The following is a 17,337-nucleotide window of genomic DNA, read 5'->3' as shown; positions in this document are numbered from 1 at the left end:
AGCACAAATATTTACTCTTGAGAACCTCTTGTCAGACATCAACTTCACCTCTAGACAGAGCCAGTTATGCTTATCCCATTTCTTCCATTGCTTTTTGCCTCTGTTTCAGCCTTTCTCAGATTGAATTATTATTACACGTTTTTGGAAATCTTTATCCCCTGAAATACTGGATTTGGGGGATAGAAACTGTGTCACTCCCTTTCCCCAGCCATTCAATAGCAAACAGCAAAGTGCCTTACCTGACCTAGATGCTTAATACATGTTGCAGTGAGGGCAATCATGCTTCTTTTTTTTATCATAATATTTAAAATATTTCCATGCCAGGCACGGTGGCTCACGCCTGTAATCCCAGCACTTTGGGAGACCGAGGCAGGTGGATCACAAGGTCAGGAGATCGAGACCATCCTGGCTAACACGGTGAAACCCCGTCTCTACTAAAAATACAAAAAATTAGCTGGGTGTGGTGGCAGGCGCCTGTAGCCCCATCTACTCGGGAGGCTGAGGCAGGAGAATGGCATGAACCTGGGAGGCAGAGCTTGCAGTGAGCCGAGATTGCGCCACTGCGCTCCAACTTGGGGGACAGAGCGAGACTCCATCTCAAATAAATAAATAAATTAATTAATTAATTAAAATATTTCCATATGCATTGACTTAAAATAAATTAACTTTTGCTTACATGTTTGCTTTCACCTATATAAAACACTGTTAGTAGTTTTCCTTTATGTAAAATGTTATGTGTCTGAATATCTTAGGGTTTTAACCTTAGCTATTTTGCCTTTGATTGGATTATCCTTGCTTTTGACATAGATTAACTTTGAAATTAGTTGTAAACTTTTATTTTTACTAATTTAGGTTTATCTTGAGAACAATAATTGTCTTATCTTCAGTTCCAATAAAGTTTATTTTATACAGTAATTGATAAACATTTGTTACACGTTTATACTCCCCACAGGGCCTCCCATATAATAGGCACTCAATAAATATTTGTAAAGATAAAGCTTAATTCTGTGCTGTGGTAATTTTTAACAATTTTCTACACTTTAAATTGGTAATTAGGCAGTAATTTTCTCCTTTTAATAGGCCTTTATTTTTATTTATTTATTTATGTATTTTTGAGTTACGGTCTGTGTTGCCTAGGCTGGAGTGCAGTGGCATGATCACAGCTCACTGTAACCTCAAACTTCTGGGCTAAAGCGATCCTCCTGCCTCAGCCTCCTGAGTTGTTAGGACTACATGCGTGTGCCTTCATGCCCAGCTAATTTTTTACTTTTTACTTTTTTGTAGAGACAAGGTCTTGCTGTGTTGTCCAGGTTGGTCTTGAGCTCTTGGGCTCAAGTGATAACTTCCATCTCGGCCTCCTAAAGTGCTGGGATTACAGGTGTGAGCCACCACACCCAGCAACTTTTAATATATCTTACTAAATCTACTTTCATGAGCTGTATATTAAATCTATAATAAAATAATTTCATAACATCTAGATTCCTGGGCGTCACTGTGGATTGACTGACTTATAATCTCTAGAGATAAAGCCTGGAAATTGGCACTTCTTTTAAAGAACGCCATAGTGATTTTGCTCCCTGAAAATTCAAGTAAAATGAGAAAGAACAAAAACCAAACAGGATAAAAAATAAAATTTGATAGCTCTTCTCTCCTGGGCTTTGGCATTTTACATAATGTGTCAGAAATATGGTGGATTTGCCTTTTGTAAAGCAAGGCCCCATATTGACTGGCCGATGCTGTTTCTCTCTGCAGGTGTGGCAGTTGGGCTCTTCGTCACCAAACTTCACTTTGGAAGGACATGAGAAAGGCGTGAATTGCATTGATTACTACAGTGGTGGGGACAAGCCATACCTCATTTCAGGTGCAGATGACCGTCTTGTTAAAATATGGGATTATCAGGTACAGTTTTTCATAACCTTACTTCCATATGTTAGATATGTTTCTTACTATTTCTTATAGGACAGTTAAGACTTGGGTTGTTGAAAACTGTTCACAGCATAATAACTTAAGGTATCAGTATTTGCACCTAAACTGTGTTCCCAGAATTCTCCATAAAAATGAAAACAATGCATATCAAGATTTTAAAAATAAAATACCAACATGTTCATATTTCATTTCATAATTGCATTTAGAAATTTTAACATTTTAATGTTGAATTATCCTCCATAATCTTCATTGATAGACTTCTATTCATTTTTGTAAGCTAGCAGATCAACAATTACCAACCATTTTGCCAAATCGTACTCTTGTAAACCTAGTTATGAATTCTTGTTAACATGCTTCCTATCTCTAAGATTTTCTTATATTTTGATATTTTTGTTTTCCACATCAAAAGTTCCCATAAGCAATTAATAAAATGAGGTCTAGAAAGTCAGTTTTTCCTTGAAACATTTTCAGATTTGTACTTAAATCCAGAATAAAAATATTAAAGGCTAAAGCAGCACTGTCTACTTAGCCAGTGATGGTAGGTGTGAGTTTTAAGGGGGAAATCTATTATCCTGAGAATTTGGGGGAATAATATTCAGACAAAAGCCTTCTTGGGTTTTTTTCCCCTTCTTTAAATGTGATAGTTACATTTACATTTATTTTACAAAGTAATTAGATAAAATATTCATATATACAACAAGATCATCCTATTTCAAAAATTTCTATATTGGATATTATTTAGATTTTCATGACTACTATCATTTATAATGTATCTGTACACTGAGAAAATTAAGGGCGGGCTGGTTACATGTTTTTCATTAATAAAACATGTTTTCTATGTCTTAATTACAGAATAAAACATGTGTGCAGACACTGGAAGGACATGCCCAAAATGTGTCTTGTGCCAGCTTTCATCCTGAGTTGCCAATCATTATCACAGGTTCAGAAGATGGTAAGTTAGAAGGGTATGTTTATTCCTGTGCTAGTAACTACTCAGTGGGCATTTAAAGCAAGTAATGTCTCTGCATTATAATTGTAGGTTTCCAAGGATTTTGATATTTTTATTAAAGTACCAGACTTAAGCTATAAAAGAGTAAAGGGGCATTATTTTCATCATCATCATCATCATCATCATCATCATCGTCATCATTCTCATGTATTTTGATTCTGTCACTTAAATAAGAGGACCGTCAGCTGTCCTAAAGAGAAACTGAAAAAGCATGTGCTTTGGAGTCAAACAAACCTGGGTTCAAAATCAGGCTCTGTTATGTCATGAATGTGTGTTTGGGCAAATTATGAAATGGAAACATATATATCTGCTTCATAAAATTATAGTGAGAAGAAATTGTGGGTAGAAAGCATCTGGCACATAGGAAACACTTTACCCAGGAAATCCTGTTATTATTTCATGTTTAAAATCGTAATTCTTAGTTTTTGTTTCTTATATGTTATGTGTTATGTTTATGTTGCTTTTAAAAATCATTTAAAGACAGTAGGTCAAAAAATTGGTCATTAAGCTGCCAGGAAGTGTTATCTGTTTGAATAGAAAGACTTCTATGGGTCTCTTTCACCTGACACAGTTTATTGTCGGATGTTTGTATCAAAAGGGAGTATTTACATTGTTCTTTTTAGGAACAGTACGTATTTGGCATTCAAGCACCTACCGGCTTGAGAGCACACTGAATTATGGAATGGAGAGGGTATGGTGCGTGGCCAGTCTAAGAGGGTCAAACAATGTCGCTTTGGGCTATGATGAAGGGAGCATCATTGTTAAGGTAATTATACTATCCCTCTCAGTAGGTGGACATAGGCAAAACCATTTTCTTTGTATTTTAGTACTGTCATCTTCCAAGTAACCAGTTTTATAAAACTGGCACTTCTTTCATTAAGCACTAGACATTAAGCAATGAAGATTTAAAGTGGAAGAAAGGAAATGGAGCTCTCTGTTAGGTGAAAAAAATAATCTGTTTTGTTTTGGTTTTATTCATTTTCCTTTTCATTGCTGAGAGCTATTTTTCTTTCTTTCAGCTTGGTCGGGAGGAACCTGCCATGTCCATGGATGCCAATGGAAAGATAATTTGGGCCAAGCATTCAGAAGTCCAGCAGGCCAACCTAAAAGCAATGGGAGATGCTGAAATTAAAGATGGTGAAAGATTGCCACTGGCAGTAAAGGATATGGGCAGTTGTGAAATATACCCTCAGACTATTCAGCACAATCCTAATGGGCGGTAAGCCATCACCAAAATTGTCCCTCAGCTTCTGTGTATGTTAGAACAGGTTTGCAGATCCACAGTCCACTCTTGCCCTGTGGTTGGCATCTCTAATCATTCCTCAATGTGCTTTTGCCCTGGCCTCACAATCCTCAACACAGCTGCAGTCAGCCATGCCACTTGATCAAGTTGGCACAAAAGATGGAGCATGTTTCCCATCTGGACTTGTTCTATACCACACAATTTTGAATAGTTAAATAGTAGTTTCCTGTTATTTCGCATGCATTGAGTTTGTGTTTTTGTGTGCTCCTTTGAGGGCAAGGAGTATGTCTTATGCTGAGACTTAGTAGGTGCCCTCTCTAAATGCTTGCTGACTCATTGCTCTTTCAAGAAGAAAACCTGACTCTGAGATATGTGTCTTTTGAAAAAGTTTTGGGATTGATAATAATTCTGTTTCTTATTTGTAATTCGAACTGTCAGTTGAATTTCTCCCTTAAGATTTGTAAGTCACCAAACATCTTGTGAGAGAGGAGTTTCTAGCACAGTGAAGTCTAAACCTGTGGAGCTTTAAAATTATTTTACAGCAGGTCTGGGCATCTTATAATGCTGTGCTGAGTATTGAAAAAGACAAAAGATATAAACCAAGTATGCCGCCTAGTTCAGTAAATGGTATCCATAATTATTTGTAATATAATTGTCTTATAAAGGTTAAGAATGCATTATGCATATTTCCCTTAATATCGTAAAACATTCTTGGCTGTAAGTTTTGCCTTTGGCAGTCTTTTGATACCAGCCTTTACAGTGTTATAAACAACTTTAAAGATAGTTGTCTTATGTCCATTGGGAAAATTTTCGTTGACTCTGCAGCATTCTGTTTTCTCATTATTTAAATGTTAAAATATCCTCTGTATTTTGCTGAATTTAAGTCTTTAAAACCTGGAGTGAGATATTTTTATTCATTTGAATGATCAGCTTTAAAATGAAGATAGTCTTTGTAATAATATAGTGCCTTCCTGTGGTATAAATGTCATGAGCAAAGTTCTAGGCATCTTGGTGCTCAACAAATACTGGTTGAATAATTGGAATCCTCCTCCTTTGCATTTCCAGCCATTCTCACCTTCCTGCCTCCAGTTGCCTTTATTTATGAGAAGACCATTCCAATAACATTTCAGCAGTAATGCCATATTCATAATTTCCTTTTCAATTTGTTGGCTAGAATTTTTTTTGTAACTTTGTATTCAAAGAAATGTATAACTTTTAAAAGATGTTAAATTGTAATAATGAACTAAATAACATTTGTTATTAGAATTCTTTTACCATAACATGAATTATTGTTCCTTAACTTCTACATGTCTTTGGTCCTCTGTACTTCCCTCCCTGGCTTCTGTGATTTCTAGGTTTGTGGTGGTGTGTGGTGATGGGGAGTATATCATCTACACAGCAATGGCATTGAGAAACAAGAGCTTTGGATCTGCTCAGGAGTTTGCATGGGCCCACGATTCTTCAGAGTAAGTTTTGATTGTATGATAGCCAGCATGCCCTGATTGCAGATGTGTTGTGTGCTGCTTGAAGACTCTCAAGGCTTGATGTGGGCTGTGATTCTCCGTGTTAAAAAACAGTTCTCACCAGAGCTGTCCATTGGAAGATGAGAGTCAGAGGCGAGTGTATAGCATGAGCCGTCTTAGTGCTTTCTTTGTTCTGCGTTAGGCTGGCTCACTCAAGCTGATACAATAATTCCATTTAACTGGGGACCCAGCACCCATTTCTTTGATGGAGCCCATGGCAGGACCTGGTGCTTTATGGGCTTAAGGCACAGTAGACCCTCATGTCTGCCTTGGCAGGCCTTGGCATGCCCTCCCTGTGATGTAGTGTCCTGAGGTGCTACTGCCCCTTTATGAGCTACTTGGGAGTGATGTTGTGGTTTGATCATTTTGATGAGAAATTTATTAAATCTTTTTTAAAACTTATTTTCTGTGATAGTACCCACTGCCCATTCTTAACAAATTTCTGTCTGAATTCAGAATGTTCATAAAATGTTCTCATTAAAAGCAGGAAAGATCATTTAACTCTGACTTTTTTACTAGTCATTGGCTCTGGTTCCTTTTTGATTCCTGTTTAATGCACGTAATAAACATTAGGGGTTTAGTGTTTTCAGACCACACAACTGAATTACATTTTCACAGTTTTTTTAGTTTTGTTTGCCCCACATTTTATGTTGCATCTTGCCCCCAACAGTGGGGTAACTTAAGCCTCAGCGTTGTGTAATAAGATACATTTTTTAAAATGTTACAACAGTAAGATTTATTGAGAGGTATGGAATTGTTCTGATATTTTCATAAATTTCCTAAATACACATATACATACAGTTCTATGTATTCAAAGGTAATGTGTTATCTTAAGCAAAATTATAGTTGATGAATTGCCTTCTCTCAGCACACCTCTTCCTCTATTTTGATAGTCCTTTTTTTCAGCTCTATCCAGCCAAGACCTTGCTCAGCATCTTTCCTGTCCTGAGCAAAGCCCTCATCACATCACTTCCTCAGACAATCTTAAATATCCAGTGATAGCCACAGCTCCTTTTTTCAAGGCAGAGGCCTGAATATAAGCAGTTGTTGCTGATGATGGCTGATTAATGAACCATTTGTCACAGTTTTTATTATTTAAATCGCCCTTATTGAGGTATAATTTACAGAAGACAGAATGTACCACTTAATTGTACAGCGATCCCCCGATCTGTGGTTTCCCTTCCTGCAGTTTTAGTTACCCACAGTCAACTGTGTTCCAAAAATATTAAGTGGAAAAGTCCAGAAATAAACAACTCATAAGTTTTAAATTGCCCAGTGTTCTGAGTTGCATGGTGAAATCTTGAGCCATCCTACCTGGGACGTGAATCATCGCTTTGTCTAGCATATCCACATTGTATATGCTGCCCACCTCTTACATTATAGGAAAAAACATAGTGTATATAGGGTTCAGTACTATCTGAGGTTTCAGGCATCCATTGGGGCTTAGAACGTATCCCCCATGGATAAGGGAGGACTACTGTTCATGTCAGTAGATTTGGGCAAATGTATGTAATCCGTAACTACTAACACAATCAAATTATAGAACATTTCTATCATCCCCGCAAAATCCCCTTGTCTCCATTAACAGTCTGTCCATACCCCCCATCCACCCATTCCCCAGTCCCAGGCAAACACTGATGAGTGCCTTTTGTCACTATATAGATTAGAGTTGTCTTTGGAGTTTCATATAAATGGAATCATACAGTATGTACTCTTGAGTCCAGCATCTTTTGTTCAGTATAATGTTTTTGAGATTCATCCATATTCTTGCCTGGATCAGTAATTGGTTTCTTTATTTGCAGAGTAGCATTCCATTATATGAATATACGATAATTTGTTTAATCATTCACCTATTGTGGACATTTGGGTCATTTTCAGTTTCTAAAGTGGTTTGTAAGCCCTAGTAATTCATGTCATACACAGTATAAAACCCTTTCATCATTTGTCCAACTGTAAGGAGTTCTCTGATCTCTTAGGAAAACAGTACATCAGATAATCTTCAAATATTTATTTTATATTTTTGCATAATTACTGAAAAATATTTGAAGATATTTCCAACATTTGGTAGAACTATGATTTAGTATATAACATGTTATGTTTGCCTTCCCTTTTTTCTCCCAGGTATGCAATAAGAGAGAGCAACAGCATTGTAAAGATATTTAAGAACTTTAAGGAAAAAAAATCATTTAAACCAGATTTTGGAGCAGAAAGTGAGTGTGATCTACATATGATACATTTTTAAATTCTTTGTAATGGCTCAAAAATGCCTAAGCAAAACTCTTTTTATGTTCCCTTTAGGTATCTACGGCGGCTTCTTATTGGGAGTCAGATCTGTAAATGGCTTAGCCTTCTATGACTGGGACAATACAGAACTCATACGAAGAATTGAAATTCAGCCCAAACATGTGAGTTTCCCCTCCATTGTTGTTTTTGGAATATTTATTTTTGTGATGAGTTCTGGGTCCCTAAGGCCAAGAAGTGTCTTTTGTACCCTGCTCTCCCTCTTCGATTATCAAAAGCCATTTAAAATATAAAACAGCACTTAGAATTTAAATAACTTCTTATACTTTTGAAATACACATTGTCTACGGCCTCATTAGGATACAACAATCCTGATTTTCTGAGCAATTGGAGGTAAGTGGCAGTGCCATTTTGACAGGAAAAAAGCATGCTTTGAGAACAAGAAGTCAGAGAATTCTTGACTTGGAAATGCCTTCTTCCACATAGTTCAGAAAACCTTTTCATACATTTTGATGATAGCTGCTTGAACTTGAGGTGACCATCTCCAGTGACAAAGTGTTTACCTTTAGAACTGCCCGCTGCTTTGACAGTTTTCACTGTCAGGAGATTATCTTTGGAAACAAACCAGCTTTTCTGGGGTCTGGTTCTAGAGCACGCATCCTCAGTGGGTGTAAACATTGACTTGGGGGCTTACTCTTTATGAATAAAGCATAGCTATACATATGTATATGCATTATATATGTATATCTGTGGTATTAAAATTTCATTGGGGGAGGTGATTAGAAAAATGTCCAGAAAGACTTCTAGGGAGGGTGGGTGAAAATGAAAAAAATAAAAAAGGTGATAAACACTGTTCTAGAGCAAGAGGGAATAGGCTACTGGTCCTCTGTGTAGCACATTCAGTGTTTACTGACAGCTCTCCTTTCCTGTCTCCCTTTGGTCTTTCCATTGCTAGGCTAAATAGCATAGCCACATAATAGCTGGCCACCCTCCCAAATAATGCCACATAAAATTGTTAAGTGAATACTTATCATCTTGATATAAGAAGGTAAATGTTGTAAGAAACCAAGTATGTGCAGTTTGTCATATCCACTCAGAAATCCAAATCAGTTGTCTATGATTTTGTTGTGTTGCAGATTTTCTGGTCTGACTCTGGAGAGCTAGTCTGTATTGCTACTGAGGAATCATTTTTTATCCTTAAGTATCTGTCAGAAAAAGTCTTGGCTGCACAGGAAACACATGAGGGAGTTACTGAAGATGGCATTGAAGATGCCTTTGAGGTAATTGCATCAGCACAACTTTCGCTTTCAGCTTTGTTTTTAAATGATTTATATTCTTACAACAGACTTTACTGATTTTAACATTTCGTTATAAATTAGGTGTAGGGAGACAGCATTTAAGGATTTCTGGTGAAATGTGAAAAATTAAAATCGTAACTCATAGATCAAAATTTAAAATAAATATGTTTAAAAGAAATTTGTACTTTGATTTTAAGAATTCTTTAGACTTACTTTGATATCTTTCAGTAAAGAAATTATAGTTGTTTTGGTCCTAAGACTATTTAGTCAGTGATTTAAATAAGCTCCCAAATGGTAAATCATTTATTGTGCAGATGTCCTAGATTTTGTGAAATACTTAATATTTCATTGTCATGTTATGAAGGGTCTAAGTTTAGATCAGTATTCTTTTATATCATGATTTTGACCCAACAATGAGATTTCACATTACAAATACTAATCTAGGAATCTGTTCTGTGTTTTGTTTTGTTTTTTTTTCTGTTTTGAGCCTAAGGGTTATATTGAGTAGGAATCTGTTCTTAAATGAAGAAAGAAATTCCAGCGGGGTGCAGTGGCTCACACCTATAATCCCAGCACTTTGGGAGGCCGAGGTGGGCAGATCACTTGAGGTCAGGAGTCTAAGACCAGCCTGGCCAGCATGGTGAAACCCTGTCTCTACGAAAAACATAAGAATTAGCCAGGCATGGTGGCGGGCGCCTGTAATCCCAGATACTTGGGAGGCTGAGGCAGGAGAATCACTTGAATCCGGGAGGTAGAAGTTGGCAGTGAGCAGAGGTTACGCCACTGTACTACAGCCTGGGCAACAGAGACTTCATCTCAAAAAAAAAAAAAAATTCCAAGGAAAATTTTTTTTTTCTAGAAATAGGAAGGATTTTACTTTGCATTCCTTATTCTGCCATATCACCCTCAGATATATTCAGCTTTTTATTGAGAGATTTCTGATGTTGGATAAAGTAATTGTCTTTATTTTTCTTTCTGCAGGTTCTTGGTGAGATTCAGGAAATTGTGAAAACAGGGCTTTGGGTAGGCGATTGCTTCATTTACACAAGTTCTGTGAACAGATTAAATTATTATGTTGGAGGAGAAATAGTCACCATTGCCCACTTGGACAGGTACCTGAGTATCATTTTGCATTTGTCCTAAATTTTAAAGTGTGTTTAGAAAAATCTGTTGCTGGCTTGTAGCAATGATAGGCTGATTTTTCAGTGTTATAGTTTTAGTAGGTTGCCTATTGTTAACCAGAATTGTGTCAATCAAATGGGAAGGTTTTGAGCAAGAGGGAGATTGGCGGGGTGTGTGTTTGTGTAATTGCAGATTTGAATTTCTAACTTGGTTTCTGTTTCTTTTATAGGACGATGTATCTCCTAGGCTACATTCCTAAAGACAACAGGCTTTATCTGGGGGATAAAGAATTGAACATCATTAGCTATTCCCTGCTGGTTTCAGTCCTGGAATACCAGACAGCTGTCATGCGGAGGGACTTTAGCATGGCTGATAAGGTCCTTCCTACCATTCCAAAAGAACAGAGGACCAGAGTTGCACACTTTTTGGAAAAGCAGGTAAGAGGTTTTGTTTTTTTCTTTTTGTTTTTTAAAACTTGCAATTTGAAAGCAAATTATTATGGAGTTGAAAAACTTTATTTCTTAATTGCCAACTGATTTCCTGTGGCAATAGAATTTCTCCTGTGAGTTTAAGGCACTTATTACAGCACATGATACACCCTTCTTACACTCTTCCTTCTCCTTTCTCAGTGCCCCCTTTAAATGTTGGAGGTGATTTTCAGTCTTCCTTTTCTGTGCACTTATTTTCCAGTCTCCTGATATTTTCATTTCTACACTGCATTTTTAGCTTTATCCCATCTGCTTTTTAAAAAAAAATGATTAAAATACATATAAAATGTACCATGACATGACTTTTTCTTATGTAATGTTTTTTAAGCAAAGTTACATATGTGCAAAGCATAAAGTAAGTTTTGCAAAGCTTAAGAAAAAAATCAGCCCTCCTTTTTGCTTTCTACTCCCTAGAGGTAATTATTTTATCTAATTCTTTTGGTATTTATTTCCATATCTCTAAATAACTTGAGGTATAGCAGTTTCTTCATTTCTTAGCTTTAGGCATTTCTTGTGACTTCCCCCTCTGTAGAAGATGAGAATTTCGCCTTCTTTCATTCCCCTGCGTCTACCACATACATGCCACTTTCCTATCCTTTATCTCTCAGAATAGTTCTAATTTTGATTGATCACTACTCAAATGTTTACATTATTATGGCTATGTAATCACTGCTCACAGGTGAACATGTAGCATATTATCTAGCTTTCCTTTCCTGCAATTGTTTGTTTTCCCTAGTTTATAATTGTCTTTTTCCCCCCTTTGCTTAATTTTCTATGTACCTGTGGTTAATTCTCCCTGGACTTTGCTGGTTCTCCAGAGTTCCTGAAGATCTCCTTTCAGTTTGCTTAGTCTCCTTCAGACTGCACTGGTTTTCCTGCTCTCATCATGGATTTCCCCTCACCATCATGTTGGGGCTTCCTTTGCTTCTGTCCTGTTGGATCCATTGTTTCTTATACCCCTATCTCCTTTCCTGCTTTGCTCCCTCATTTTAGGGGAACATGCCCTTCAGCAATTTCCTGAGAAAAGGATTGTTAATGAGAGATAAATTGTTTTGTGACTTTGAATATCTGAAAGTGCCATTGTTCTACCCTAAAACATATTCAACCATTTAACTGGTATATAATTGTTGGAGGTAATTTTCTCTCAGAATTTTGAAGGCATTGTTCCATTGCCTTGTAGTTATTGTTGAAGTCTAAAGCCATTTTTATTCCTCATTCTTAGTACATGACCTGGTTTTTCTCTGTGGAAACTTTCTGAATGTCATCTCTGTTGTACTGAAATGTTATAATCATGGTAGGCCTTGGTAGGAATCAGTTTTCATTAATTCTGCCAGTTATTAGATGAGCTTTTTTAATGGGAAACTTATGTCCTACATTTCTGAAGGATTTTCATGAATCGTTCTATGGTGATATCCTTCGTTTTCTGTATTCTGTCTTTCTGGAATTGTTCATGTTGTATGTCCTGCACTGATTTTCCTATTCTCTTTTAAAATCTTATTGTTTATAGATAAAAGTTTCTCGTATCTTTCTACAGATATGAATGATATATTTCTGTTTTTAGATTTTGAAGTTTTCTCTTCCCCCTATATGGTATGCTTCCTTCACGTTCCTTTTATTGCTTCATTTTGATCTGCATCTTTGCTGTTAGTGATTTTCCTCAAGTATCTGATGTCCTTGGGCCCTCATTTAAGAGTGAAGGTACAAGAAACAGATCAGAAGGTCTGAATTTGTGGGTGGGGCATATTGGGTTTGGATTTCACAATATCTGGTGTGGTTGGCCCATTTGATTAGGGAGTCTCAATGTCAGTATCTTTAGCCAATGAATTTTTGATGACTTTCCATTTATGTAATGAATTTAACAAGCACTTAACAATGTGCTAGGCACTGTTCCTGCTGACATGTAGCCTTCATGGAGTTGACATTTTAGTATTTTTAAGTCTTTTCCCTTGGGCTCAGTAGATTTTACTGAAAAGCTCCCCAGTCACCATCATTTTGGGGTCTCAGTAGAAGATACCTTGGAGTCTCAGTATTTAATATTTCATTGAGTCTGTGTATCCATTTTCATAATCTCCTGTCTTCCTTTGATACTCTGTACTTTTTCCTCCAAGTGTGCTTGGAATCTCCTGGTCTGGAGACTCTTTAGTTTGTCCTCTCCAAAGAATAAACCTGTCTTCTTTGTCATGAGGTGGGAGAGGGGAGGTGAGAGAGGGGAGGTGGGAGAGGGGAGCGGATCTAGAGTTTCTGAATGCTTTTAGGGCAGTTTGTTTGTTTTTAGCCCTACCATTCATGAGACACACTGGGTGTAAATCACATTGTTTCTATGCTGTTCTCACTCCTGATTTAGGATCTGTTTTCTCTACTGTTTTAACAAAATGTTTATATTCCTCCACCAGCTTTCCAGCTTCCAAACTTTTGTTACTGTTTCCTCTCCCTTTCTGTGTGTCGTTGGGAGCTTATGCCTTTAAAAAAAAATCCTTTTAGTGTGATTTTATTAGTAGTAGGGAATTAGCAGAAAACAAAAGTATATATTTTAGTCCGCCTCATTTCATGTGTTTTGCCCTTGGCTGTATCTGACTAGTTCCAGAGATCTTCCATCCTCCACTCTTGGGTTTTATGTTATCTATATCAATGCTAGTGGAAAAAAAGTAACTCCGGTTATTTAGAATGCCTTATTTACATCGTATTCATGGATGGATCGGGGCGGGTTGGCAGCCTGTATAAGCTGAGAAGTTAAAACATTTCAAACTTGATGATAAAGCCATCCTGAAGATATAGCCAGACAGAACCCTAAAGCTGTCCAGCTTCTCAATCTTGACTATCCCATAAATGAGCATTCTCCCTCAGTCTGGTGAAGAGGTAAACTATCCCTGAGCTTTTTGTGTAACACATTACATCCCTAGAGCTAAAAATGACCCCATCAGTAGTGTTTGTCTTGAAGGAGAAGCTAATTTAATAATTACAATAGTTGATTTAAAACAGTGGTCCCCAACCTTTTTGGCACCAGGGACCAGTTTCGTGGCAGATAGACAATTTTTCCACAGATGGGAAGGGGGTACATTTCAGGATGAAACTGTTCCACCTCAGATCGTCAGGCATTAAGAGTCTCATAAAGAGCACAGAACCTAGATCCATCACATGTACAGTTCACAATAGGGTTCATGCTCCTATGAGAATCTAATGCCGTTACAGGCGGAGTTTAGGCGGTAATGCTCACTCACCCACCCACCCACTGCTCACCCTCTGCTGTGCGGCCTGATTCCTAACAGGCCACAGACTGGTTGTTTGGGAGACCCCTGGTTTAAAAGCTTGTTCTTAATGCCTTAATGGAGCATGGGAAGGAAATTTTAGACTTCCTGTCTTTTGGATACTTGCTGAGGAACTGGACTTGAGACCAACAATAAAGGAATAGGTAATGACACCTAATTGGTGACTGGACCTGAATACACAATGTTTGCTATGACCTACAGATGACAGAAAGTTGGAAGGTTTTATATTTGACTCCCGTTTCTTTGGCCATTTACTGCTAATAGTCTCATCTGCAAAATGAGGGGTTGGACTAGATGATCTCTACTTCCCAGCCTAGTTGAGTAGATTACCAACAGCTAAGTTTACACTGCTGTGCCTAGTTTTCTTCTTTTGAAATGATTCTTGTTTAGTCAACTTTGCAAAATTCCTTTCTTTTTGACATATCTGTTTATATTTACATTTCCAGTTTTACTGGTTACTTGAGTTTAACATTAGCCAGCTTCCATTATCCTAATAAACAGTAAGAATTCTGTCACTGAATATTTTATCTGCCAGGTTTGTTCTTACCACTTCCTTTAATGACTCCTTAATTATTCCATCTTCTTATTAAATAGTGGGGTTTCTAGTTTGAGAGGGAAATGATTTGCTCTGTGAATGTGTGTACACTGTATATGTGTGTGTATATATATATATATAAAACATACATACATTTTTGTATGCATAAATATATATAATTTTTAAAAATCTGTTTAGGGCTTCAAGCAGCAAGCTCTTACAGTATCCACAGATCCTGAGCATCGTTTTGAGCTTGCTCTTCAGCTTGGAGAGTTAAAAATTGCATACCAGTTAGCAGTGGAAGCAGAGGTATGTACTAATTCATGATTTTTCATAACTGATGGAAAAGTCAGTAGGTACTTCTATGTGTTTGGTGTAATGTTTTGTTATTAAAGTTTTCCCAAATGCAAATTAGTGGCTCATTTTGTTGAAGTTATTGTCTCTCTCTTATCTTTTTAAAAGATGTATTATGTTAAACTTTGCATAAGTTAAATTGATTACATTGGAGATATTCTTAGCACTCTAATTTGTTTTAAGAAAAATTGTTTTCATATCTTATGTGAGCTCTATTTTGCAAGATAAGAAAAGATGTAAAATAGTATGTAAACTAGTCTGGAAAGCCTAAGAGTACAGACATAGCAGTTATTTGCCAATGTCTGAAACTAACTAAAAATATGTTGGTTTTGAAAGACAGCCCAACCCCCTCATCTTTTGGTGTTGAATAGAGCAGGCAGTCAGAGAAGGACAGTGCTGCCTTGGTGGCACTCACCTTCAGCAGCAGATGCTCTTAGCACATCTGGTCTAAATGTTTGAGCTAAATGAGCTGTTCAGGGAGGCTCAAGTGGGAGAAATGTTAATACCATTTTTGTAATGATATTTTTATAGATCTTTGTATATTGAGGCTCCCAATTGTTTCAGACTGGCATTTACTGGTAAATTAATTTCAGATGTGCAAAATAAATTTTAGCTACGTTAAGATCATCTAAACATGCAGCATTTTGAGTTCTGAAAAGCTACAAGTGAGACATAATATTATTGTGAAATATTTAAAGACGTAGTTTTGTATGCTTTCAAAAAAGTGATATTAAATCACTTGTTAAAATAATTGCAGTCTAATTGCCTTAAAACTCCAGTGAGATGGTTTTACTTTCCCTGTGTAATTATAAGATAAAAGTATAATGGGTTGACGATAATTATTTGCACATCATTAAAATTGATTTGTGTTTAAATTCATTTTGTATACATTAATAATTTCCATTTCCTCACTGTACATTTTGCAATGCCATTCTTATTTTGATAGAGCCAACTTAACAAACACAGCTCTTTTTATAAACATTGTCTGCACAGTTAACAGAATAATGTTGGAAATGTAAATGCTTATTTCTAAAGATATTTTAACTTGGAAACTCTTTTCTTACAGTCAGAACAGAAGTGGAAACAACTTGCTGAACTTGCCATTAGTAAATGTCAGTTTGGCCTAGCCCAGGAGTGCCTGCATCATGCACAGGATTATGGGGGCCTGCTGCTTTTGGCCACTGCCTCTGGAAATGCTAATATGGTGAACAAGCTAGCAGAGGGTGCGGAGAGAGATGGCAAAAATAATGTGGCATTCATGAGCTACTTTTTACAGGGCAAGTGAGTATTAATTTAAAAGATTAATTAATTCTACACTGAGGATGGTTTTTGGAGAGGGAAGTGAAGAATGAACCCTGGAGAGAACTGATGAATGGCCAAATGGTGTTGAATAGACGGGGCAGTCAGAACAGGACAGTGCTGCCTTGGTGGCACTCACCTTCAGCAAGGGATGCCCTTAGCACATCTATCTAAATGTTTGAGCTAAATGAGCTGTTCAGGGAGGCTCAAGTGGGAGAAATGTTAAACACCTTCTTCAACAGCCCTGCCAGTTAATGGTGGAAGCATTTTATTTTATGATTGCAGGAGGCTATTGAGCTGCTCTAGTAGGTACCTGAAGGGCAGGTGATTTTACCCAAATTGGATAACTTTGATCCATTTATGGCAAGAACAAAAGGGGATAAGTATGCCACTTACTTGTAGATTTGAGCCCACTATAAAGCATAAAGATGTCTCATATTTTTAAGTCTAACCGAGTTAGCATAAACCAAATCATTTGGACATTAGTTGGCAGTATTATGAAATAAAACACAAAAGTATTCTTTCCTTTTTTTTTTTTTTTTTTTGAGATGGAATCTCACTCTGTTGCCCAGGCTGGAGTGCAGTGGCATGATCTCGGCTAATTGCAGCCTCTGTCTCCCTCGTTCAAGCCCTTCTCCTGCCTTAGCCTCCCAAGTAGCTGGGATTACAGGCATGCGCCACCACACCCGGCTTGTGTTTTTAATAGAGATGGGGTCTCACCATGTTGGCCAGGCTGGTCTCAAACTCCTGACCTCAAATGATCCGCCTGCCTCGTCCTCCCAAAGTGCTGGGATTATAGGTGTGAGCCACCACGCCCAGCCCGAAAGTATTCTTTAACCTTCTCCTACATACTGATTTTTTTTTTTTTTTACAATCCCATACTTCGCCATATAACTTTGAACGTGCACCCCATTGTATGTATGTGAATGTATTTATGAATTTATATACCTGTAAGAATAGACCCTATTCCTTATCCATAATTCAAAAATCCAAAAATATTCTGAAAACAGTTATAACTGTTTTGATGGCAAGA

General features: G+C 37.1%; 1 protein-coding gene across 4 annotated transcripts in view; it reads left to right on the top strand.

Annotated features, from left to right (window-relative positions):
- The window catches only part of COPB2 (coat protein complex I subunit beta 2), a 32,275-nt gene that overhangs the window by 12,314 nt on the left and 2,624 nt on the right, over positions 1-17,337 (top strand). For 3 of the 4 annotated variants that reach the window (NR_023350.1, NM_004766.3, NM_001410834.1), the window contains 12 exons: positions 1,753-1,899; positions 2,779-2,878; positions 3,559-3,701; positions 3,955-4,154; positions 5,534-5,644; positions 7,823-7,911; positions 8,000-8,106; positions 9,079-9,222; positions 10,222-10,352; positions 10,592-10,799; positions 14,850-14,960; positions 16,072-16,286. Coding sequence is in view for 3 of the 4 variants with exons in the window: in NM_004766.3 (NP_004757.1) it covers positions 1,753-1,899; positions 2,779-2,878; positions 3,559-3,701; positions 3,955-4,154; positions 5,534-5,644; positions 7,823-7,911; positions 8,000-8,106; positions 9,079-9,222; positions 10,222-10,352; positions 10,592-10,799; positions 14,850-14,960; positions 16,072-16,286 (1,706 nt within the window). In the remaining variant the exon portion in view is untranslated. Of the gene's footprint in view, positions 1-1,752; positions 1,900-2,778; positions 2,879-3,558; positions 3,702-3,954; positions 4,155-5,533; positions 5,645-7,822; positions 7,912-7,999; positions 8,107-9,078; positions 9,223-10,221; positions 10,353-10,591; positions 10,800-14,849; positions 14,961-16,071; positions 16,287-17,337 lie in introns of those variants that run through there. The other variant, XM_047449233.1, reaches the window with a different exon arrangement.

This window comes from Homo sapiens, chromosome 3 (genome assembly GCF_000001405.40).
Source record: "Homo sapiens chromosome 3, GRCh38.p14 Primary Assembly".
Classification (NCBI taxonomy): domain Eukaryota; kingdom Metazoa; phylum Chordata; class Mammalia; order Primates; family Hominidae; genus Homo; species Homo sapiens.
This window is presented reverse-complemented; position numbering and strand designations above follow the sequence as displayed.